This window comes from Homo sapiens, chromosome 11, assembly GCF_000001405.40.
Source record: "Homo sapiens chromosome 11, GRCh38.p14 Primary Assembly".
Classification (NCBI taxonomy): Eukaryota; Metazoa; Chordata; class Mammalia; order Primates; family Hominidae; genus Homo; species Homo sapiens.
Window position 1 is genome coordinate 63,527,784 of NC_000011.10, and position 9,021 is coordinate 63,536,804.

Genomic DNA, 9,021 nt, shown 5'->3' on the forward strand with positions numbered 1-9,021 from the left:
CAGGCCAGGTGCAGTGGCTCATGCCTGTAATCCCAGGCCAGGTGCAGTGGCTCATGCCTGTAATCTGGATACACAGGATGGAGCACCCAGAGAGGCCATGGAACCTCTGCACCCCTTCCTGCATGTCTTACCCCATGCATCTCTTTGTTTGTATCCTTTAAAATAGCCTTTGTAATAAACTGGTAAGTGAAGGGGTGGGTTGCCCCTCCACACCTGTGGGTGTTTCTCGTAAGGTGGAATGAGAGACTTAGGAAAGAAAAAGAAACAGAGACAAAGTATAGAGAAAGAAATAAGGGGGCCCGGGGAACCAGCGTTCAGCATATGGAGGATCCCGCCAGCCTCTGAGTTCCCTTAGTATTTATTGATCATTCCTGGGTGTTTCTCCGAGAGGGGGATGTGTCAGGGTCACAAGACAATTGTGGGGAGAGGGTCAGCAGACAAACACGTGAACAAACGTCTTTGCATCATAGACAAGGTAAAGGATTAAGTGCTGTGCTTTTAGATATGCATACACATAAACATCTCAATGCTTTACAAAGCAGTACTGCTGCCCGCATGTCCCACCTCCAGCCCTAAGGCGGTTTTTCCCTATCTCAGTAGATAGAACGTACAATCAGGTTTTATACCGAGACATTCCATTGCCCAGGGACGGGCAGGAAACAGATGCCTTCCTCTTGTCTCAACTGCAAGAGGCATGCCTTCCTCTTATACTAATCCTCCTCAGCACAGACCCTTTACGGGTGTCGGGCTGGGGGACGGTCAGGTCTTTCCCTTCCCACGAGGCCATATTTCAGACTATCACATGGGGAGAAACCTTGGACAATACCTGGCTTTCCTAGGCAGAGGTCCCTGCGGCCTTCCGCAGTTTTTGTGTCCCTGGGTACTTGAGATTAGGGAGTGGTGATGACTCTTAAGGAGCGTGCTGCCTTCAAGCATCTGTTTAACAAAGCACATCTTGCACCGCCCTTAATCCATTCAACTCTGAGTTGACACAGCACATGTTTCAGAGAGCACGGGGTTGGGGGTAAGGTTATAGATTAACAGAATCTCAAGGCAGAAGAATTTTTCTTAGTACAGAACAAAATGGAGTCTCCTATGTCTACTTCTTTCTACACAGACACAGTAACAATCTGATCTCTCTTGCTTTTCCCCACAGGTAAGTGTAAGTAAGTGTTTGCCTGAGTTCTGTGAGCTGCCCTAGCAAATTAACCAAACCCAATGAGGAGGTCCTGGGAACCCCAGTTTATACACAGCTAATCAGAAACACAAGTAAAACAACCTGAAGCTGGCAATTCACATCAGAAGTTGGGGAGAATCTTGTGCAACTGAGCCCTCAACCTGTGGGATCTGACATTATCTCCAATTAGTGTCAAAATTGAACAGAATGAGAGGACACACAGCTGATGTCTGCTGCAGAATTGATGAATGAGTAGTTGGTGGGGACAAATCACACATTTCTTGGTGAGCAGAGGTCACAGAAGACGTTTTGTTGATTATTGTTGAATGAGAGAATAGAAAAAGCACGTTGTTTTTTTTCATGCGCGTCCGTGTGAAGAGACCACCAAACAGGTTTTGTGTGAGCAATAAAGCTTTTAATCACCTGGGTGCAGGCGAGCTGAGTCCGAAAAGAGAGTCAGCAAAGGGAGATAGGGGTGGGGCCGTTTTATAAGATTTGGGTAGGTAAAGGAAAATTACAGTCAAAGGGAGTTTGTTCTCTGGCAGGCAGGAGTGGGGGTTGCAAGGTGCTCAGTTGGGGAGGTTTTTGAGCCAGGATGAGGCCAGGAAAACGACTTTCACAAGGTAATGTCATCACTTAAGGTAAGGACCGGCCATTTTCACTTCTTTTGTGGTGGAATGTCATCAGTTAAGGTGGGGCAGGGCATATTCACTTCTTTTGTGATTCTTCAGTTACTTCAGGCCATCTGGGCATATACGTGCAAGTCAGAGGGGATGCAATGCCTTGGCTTGGGCTCAGAGGCCTGACATTTTTTATTCCTACAGTCTCAGAGGAATATAGCTAAAAATGTGTTTACAGAGAAGTTTATAGTATTAGCTTATATTAGAAAAGAAGATATGTCTCAAATCAATGATCTAAGCTTTTACCTCAAGGAAGTAGGGGAGCCAGGTTTTCAGCAATTGGCCAGAAAAGAAAAAAAAAGAAGGGGGAGGAAGCATATGAAAACCAAAACAAGCAAAGAAAGAAAATGTAATAAAGATAGAAGAAGTAATAAATAAAGTAGAAAAAGAAAAAAATCAATCAGTCTAAAGCTGGTTCTTTGAGAAGATCAATAAAATTGATAAACCTCTAGCCCAGGGGGTCAGCAGAGACCCAAGTAATAAATATGTTAGGCCTCGCATGCCAGGAGGCCACACAATCTGCCACTGTAGCACAAAAGCAGCCATAGACAATACAAAAATAAATGAGAATAGCTGTATTCATGGGTCTTGTAAGACAGGCAGTGGGCCCAGTTTGGACTGGTTTGGATCTGTGTCCCATGCCAAATCTGTGTCCCATGTTTGGGCCCCACATTGTAGGGGTGGGTTGCCCCTACACACCTGTGGGTGTTTCTCATAAGGTGGGACGAGAGATTTGGAAAAGAAAAAGACACAGAGACAAAGTATAGAGAAAGAAATAAGGGGGCCCGGGGAACCAGCGTTTAGCATATGGAGGATCCCCCCAGCCTCTGAGTTCCCTTAGTATTTATTCATCATCTGTGGGTGTTTCTCAAAGAGGGGGATGTGTCAGGGTCACAAGACAATTGTGGGGAGAGGGTCAGCAGACAAACACGTGAACAAAGGTCTTTGCATCATAGACAATGTAAAGGATTAAGTGCTGTGCTTTTAGATATGCATACACATAAACATCTCAATGCTTTACAAAGCAGTATTGCTGCCCGCAGGTCCCACCTCCAGCCCTAAGGCGGTTTTTCCCTATCTCAGTAGATGGAGCATACAATCGGGTTTTATACCGAGACATTCCATTGCCCAGGGACGGGCAGGAGACAGATGCCTTCCTCTTGTCTCAACTGCAAGAGGCATTCCTTCCTCTTTTACTAATCCTCCTCAGCACAGACCCTTTACAGGTGTCGGGCTGGGGGACGGTCAGGTCTTTCCCTTCCCACGAGGCCATATTTCAGACTATCACATGGGGAGAAACCTTGGACAATACCTGGCTTTCCTAGGCAGAAGTCCCTGCGGCCTTCCGCAGTTTTTGTGTCCCTGGGTACTTGAGATTAGGGAGTGGTGATGACTCTTAAGGAGCGTGCTGCCTTCAAGCATCTGTTTAACAAAGCACATCTTGCACCGCCCTTAATCCATTCAACTCTGAGTTGACACAGCACATGTTTCAGAGAGCACGGGGTTGGGGGTAAGGTTATAGATTAACAGAATCTCAAGGCAGAAGAATTTTTCTTAGTACATAACAAAATGGAGTCTCCTATGTCTACTTCTTCCTACACAGACACAGTAACAATCTGATCTCTCTTGCTTTTCCCCACACCACATTGGAGCTTAGCCCATGAAAGAATTCAAGGATGAGCCTATGGTGAGAGAAGGCAACTTTTTTGAACCAGTACTGCTCCTTGCAGAGCAGGACTAACCCATAGGCAGCGGGCTGAGTTGGCAACATATGGGCTGTTGGCAGCTGTACTTATACCCACTTTTAATTATATGCTAATTAAGAGACGGGTTATTCAGAACTTTCTGGAAAAGGGTGGAGAGTTTCCAGAACCATCTAAGGTAACTTCCAGGCCATTACCATGGCCTATTGCAATGGTATTTGTAAACTGTCATGGCACTGGTGGGAGTGTCTTATGCTAATGAGCAGTGAGGGCAAATAGAGGTCACTTCCATCACCCTCTGCTAGTTTTGGCTGGCTTCTTCACTGCATACTGTTCTGACCACATCCTGCTCCAATCAACATGATCAACAGGGCTGCAACGAGAAAGCAAGTCCTGCCAGCCTCCTACCTCGCTACTATAGTAGGTTAGTGGAGGGGGAACATTTCCTTGTCCCAAATTCCAGCCAGAGTCTTTCTCAACATCTAAATACTGAATGCTGCCATGGCTTCAAATAAATTTGCAATGAAAAAACATATTTTTAAATGGCTTTCTATTTTGCTGCAGGAAAGGAAAACAAAATCTCGGGACCCAAACTCACTAAGCCAAAGGGAAAATTCAAGCTAGGAATTGGGTCACCCAAACCTGCCTCCCATTTTGTTCCTAAATAGATAGCTACAAAAATAAAAAGCTATATAACTCCCTAACAATTTGCTCACAAGGGAATTCTTTGTGAGCCCCAAGATCTTCACCCTAAAACAGTTCTGCTGAATGACACCCTGATGATGTAAATTGACAGCTTATCATCACAGGTATGGGAGAAAGGACAGAACTATAAGTCATCCCTCCATTCACCTGAGACAAATGCATATTTGACTGCTTATATAAAAATCCAGATTCACTAAGCATGAAATGAATGCATAATTAACTATTCCTCTACCCCCTCCTTTCACATGTAAAATGCAGATTCAGTGAATGCTGATCAAAGACTCAAAGGAATGCAACCACTTGCCTCTTTTATCTACCCTCCCTTTTTTTCCCTTTTCTCTTTCCCCTAATGCCCACACTTTTCCCTTTAAATAATGATGTCCCCAGACGCACTTTGGAAAAAGCACGAATCACAGATGTTTCCTATGGTTTTCTGTTCCTTTTTTCCTGGATGTGTCCTAAACCTTAGCTAAATAAATCTCTAAATTTTTGACTGAAAGCTGTCTCAAATATTTTTTGGGTTACAGCAGCTATTGCATCTAGATATACAATATAAATTAATGTAAAATATCATATGCTTGTAATTTCATACATGCTAGAGATATCATCCCAATCAGGGAAAGCTGCAAGAAGAAAGTGTTGGTGGTAAAGCACAACTTCCTAGATTTTTGCTGTCAGTGGGCTGGTTGGAATTTAAACTCTTTGAGTATTAAAAACAAATCAGTCTTCATAACTGATTATTTCTGCTATTATTGTTACCTATTGGAGCCTCTAGGAAAAAAAGAGGCAATAGAGAAAGAGAGGCAGTCTCCGTTGCTAATGTGCTCTTGTGGGATTAGATGTCTGATCCTTTGGAGCAGACCATCCATCCTGATGTGGGTCAGTTTGGACTCCAAGTCTGACAAAGCAGAACAGGCTTCAGAAAGCCTTGTTTGTCACTTGGAATACAGCCGTCACTCCTGCAGCATCTAAGCTTTGGTGCTGCTGAAGAAAGGCCACTGGCTGTTTTGGAGTCCTGCATTCACAGACCCCAGCTGCCTGGAACTGACTCTAAGCTAAAACCTGACACTATCTACCACAAGCTGTTTCAACCTCAGCACAAGCTGCAATGAACTGGAAGTGTAAGCAGACAGCAAGGGTTTCCAGGGATTATAGGAATTTAATCAACTCAGCAATCAGCCTTTTACAGCCTACCATCCTGTAGCCTGTTTCTTCCTAAACCTTGCATAGAATGCAGTCATGTGGTTGGTTAAAACCAGCTCCTAACAGATCCCAGCAACCTACAGATGAATCTGAGTGAACTTTCCTCATTACCATGCTAAAGTCTCCACCCCGGAGGAGCTACAGCTTCATTACCATAGCATGCAACCTATGTGTTGGCACGATGACTCACTGCATCTGTGCAACTGGGACCCCTCCTCTGCATGTGCCGATGCACCCTCTCCCCTCTCCATCACCCATAAAACCCTCCTGTCACTTTTCGTAGGGAAGACTGCTTTGGAGAATCCTCACAGTGTCCTCCTTACTTGTGCCAAGTAATAAAACTGCTATTGATCCACACCTGTGTTCTCATGAAAAGTTGTTTGTTACTAAACGAATGATCCCCGTTTTTTTTCGAGTAACAGAAGTGGGCATGTATGGTTTCTTCTGATAGCAACCAAATACATGTCATTTGTCCACATCAATCAGTCCTGCAATTCTCCAACACTGACCGCATGTTCAACAATCCGACTCAATTCCGACGCTAACTATCCAGAGTTAGGCTCAGCCTCCACAGGTAAAGTCTCCAGGCTCAGCAACAAATGGAGTTCCCTGGCTACTCACATTTCTACCTGGCTGACTACAAATGGTGGAGACCCCCTAAATCCCCTTTAAATTTGATAATTCCCTAGAACAACTTCCAAAATTTAGAAAACTGCTTTACTTATGATTGTCAGTTTATTATAAAGGATACAACTCAGCAACAGCTACATGGAAGAAACTAAGAAGAAACTAATATGGGGGGCAGTGATTGTGCACAGCTTCCATTGTTAAAGAAAAAATTATCTAATGATACAAGCTTGATATCCACTGCACTGGGATTTTGCAGCAAGAGAGAGAGATGGGGCTCAAACTTGAACACAGCACGGGCAAGTGGGAATTCATAGGCAAGGAGAAGCATACAGGTCAGTGGATGCAAAATTACAAAGAGGAAACCTCAGGGGCAAGAGAGATTCTGGTTAAACCACACTAACAGGATTCTTGCTGAAGACAGGCCGGGGTGATCAGACATCACCTGGAGGACAGTGAGAAGGATGAACCCGGTCAGATATTGAGGGTGGGAAGTTCCTGCTAAACTGACTTGGCAGGGTCCTTTGCTAAAATTAGATTTTACAAGGAAGTACAGATGTGCCTAGGAAGAGGTTTGGGAACCTGACTAAAATGTGGTCACACAGAGAATCTTTGCCACCATGCCCTCTCCAGCCAGGCCAGTCTCCCACCACATCTGTGTTCACCTGCCCCAAAGCTCTCCCAACCCCGTCATGTAGGGGTTTCTACGGAGGCTGCATAATGTAGACATTACTGATTAAATAATGGTGATCAGTCCCCAACCTGAAGTTATCCAGCTCTCCCTCCTCAACCAAGAGCCACCTCATTAGCATAAACTCAGATTTGTTTGACAGAGACTCCTTCTGAATAACATGACATCCTATCACTCAGGAAATTCCAAGGGTCTTAGGACCTCTGTGTCTGGAACTGGGGTCAAAGACCAAAAATATATTTTTTTATCATGCCACATAAGGCATAAATAAACTTTTATTATGCTACAAGGCATAAATTTATTTAAAAATAAAAATTTTTATTATGCCACAAGGCAAAAACCCAGACTCTGGGATTGTTGAATGCAGACTCTTGTGGGGGCCCCCTTAAAGAGTTTTGTGATCCTAAATATTTCAAAATGGAGTCACTTACGACAAGTGACTCAGCCCACAGTGAAACTGCTGAACCCTCAAAATGATAAACATAGGTATAAAGGACTGAGGTAATAAGATAACATCTGCTGTGGCCAGACACCCCCAAGACCTGATGAGAAACTGAAACCAAAAGGTGGCTGAGATAATGACCATGGACACTCCTGCAGAGGGCCATAAAAACAGCAAAGAAACTGACCACGGCAAGACACCTGTAGAAGCTCTGCCCGAGAAAGCTCTGAGGCTTCCTCATGATATCCACAGCGGTCCCTGGAAGCTCTGCCCAAACACAGCAACATCGTTCAACAGTGTTTTGAGTGAAACCCAGAGGCATGCTAACCTAAACAACAGAAATGGGGGTTTTTTGTTTTGTTTTGCTTTGAGACATGGTTTCACTCCAGTTGCCCAGGCTAGACTGCAGTGGAGCAATCTCAGCTGACTGCAGCCTGACTTCTGGGTTCAGGCGATCCTCCCATCTCCGCCTCCCAAGTAGCTGAGAGTACAGGCACATGCCACCATGCCCGGCTAATTTTTTTTTCTGTATTTTTAGCAGAGACGGGGTCTCGCCATGTTGGCCAGGCTGGTCTTGAACTCGTGGGCTCAAGTGATCCACCTGTCTAGGCCTCTGGTTGGGTGTGAAAATATGGCCCAGTTCTGGCCAATGGAGAAGGGAACAGGTCATCTGGGGAACTGTGGGAAAGACTTAACTCCCTGAAAAAAAGACAAATGAGAATTATCTTTCCCTCCATCTTTTGGGCATAGCCAGGTAAAAATGGGCCACTCAAGGCTGCTACAGCCATGGGAGTCCCTGCAGGGCAACAGTGCAGACCCAGGACCAGTGCAATGGAGACAGCCTGCTGAGTCCTTGGTGACCTTGGTGAGCCACTAAACCCAACCTGAGTCACCCTCTTCCTGCCTTTCTGTTACCGAGACAATGGGTGTCCAGGCTGTTGAAGCCCTTTTGAGTTTAGTTCTGCTTCTTGCACCCAAATGCATTTTAATGGGGCCATGAGCTCCCAGGCTCCACATGGTCTAAGGTACCCCTCACCTCCAGGGCATCCCCATGGAATGAAACACCCCCTCTGGCCTTCTCCCAAGACTTCTGGCCCAATATTTTCTGGGTGTCTTTACAAGACAATGTCCTATGGGGTGCACTGGGGATTGACATCTCCCTGCCTCCGAATGCCTCCCCTTCCTGGAGTAGGAAGAGCTGCCCAGGGTTCTTTTTAGAAGAGACCTTTATTTTGGCCAGGTGCGGTGGCTCACACCTGTAATCCCAGCATTTTGGGAGACCGACGGGGAGGCAGATCACAAGGTCAAGAGATCGAGACCATCCTGGCCAACATGGTGAAACCCCGTCTCTACTAAATATGGAAAAATGAGCCAGGCATGGCAGCAGGTGCCTGTAATCCCAGCTACCTGGGAGGCTGAGGCAGGAGAATCACTTGAACCCGGGAGGCAGAGGTTGCAATGAGCCGAGATCGCACCATTGCACTCCAGTCTGGGTGACAAGAGCGAAACTCTGTCTCAAAAAAACAAACAAACAAACAAACAAACAAACAAAAAAGAAAAAAAAAGAAAAGACCTTTATTTCTCAAGCAAGGGCAGAAATTCAGGGCTCCCCTTCGACTCTGGCTGCTCCCAAGGTGGCTTTAAAGCACCAATGAGTCCATGGCTTGTGTAAGAAATGATTAGTCCTTCCATCTAGAGAAATAGCTCCTTTTTAAACAGTTGTCTCTTTTAAACAGTGTTTAGTATTTAAGTGAGGTTGAAACAGTGTCAAAAGGAAAGTGAAAGTGAAATTC

General features: G+C 45.2%; 6 annotated features.

Moving 5' to 3' along the window:
* Positions 160-821: an enhancer, noted in NCBI's record as "OCT4-NANOG-H3K27ac hESC enhancer chr11:63295415-63296076 (GRCh37/hg19 assembly coordinates)". NCBI's record gives its function as "activates a minimal SCP1, AML or CMV promoter by ChIP-STARR-seq in naive and primed H9 embryonic stem cells {active_cell/tissue: H9 hESC(naive and primed)}" and the evidence as "EXISTENCE:reporter gene assay evidence [ECO:0000049][PMID:30033119]".
* Positions 1,484-2,143: an enhancer, noted in NCBI's record as "OCT4-NANOG-H3K27ac hESC enhancer chr11:63296739-63297398 (GRCh37/hg19 assembly coordinates)". NCBI's record gives its function as "activates a minimal SCP1, AML or CMV promoter by ChIP-STARR-seq in naive H9 embryonic stem cells {active_cell/tissue: H9 hESC(naive)}" and the evidence as "EXISTENCE:reporter gene assay evidence [ECO:0000049][PMID:30033119]".
* Positions 3,694-3,988: an enhancer, noted in NCBI's record as "tiled region #8142; K562 Activating DNase unmatched - State 5:Enh". NCBI's record gives its function as "activates a minimal TATA promoter and a strong SV40 promoter by Sharpr-MPRA in K562 cells {active_cell/tissue: K562}" and the evidence as "EXISTENCE:reporter gene assay evidence [ECO:0000049][PMID:27701403]".
* Positions 4,130-4,789: an enhancer, noted in NCBI's record as "OCT4-NANOG-H3K27ac hESC enhancer chr11:63299385-63300044 (GRCh37/hg19 assembly coordinates)". NCBI's record gives its function as "activates a minimal SCP1, AML or CMV promoter by ChIP-STARR-seq in primed H9 embryonic stem cells {active_cell/tissue: H9 hESC(primed)}" and the evidence as "EXISTENCE:reporter gene assay evidence [ECO:0000049][PMID:30033119]".
* Positions 7,177-7,266: an enhancer, noted in NCBI's record as "active region_4869". NCBI's record gives its function as "activates an Ori minimal core promoter by ATAC-STARR-seq in GM12878 lymphoblastoid cells {active_cell/tissue: GM12878}" and the evidence as "EXISTENCE:reporter gene assay evidence [ECO:0000049][PMID:35858748]".
* Positions 8,924-8,973: an enhancer, noted in NCBI's record as "active region_4870". NCBI's record gives its function as "activates an Ori minimal core promoter by ATAC-STARR-seq in GM12878 lymphoblastoid cells {active_cell/tissue: GM12878}" and the evidence as "EXISTENCE:reporter gene assay evidence [ECO:0000049][PMID:35858748]".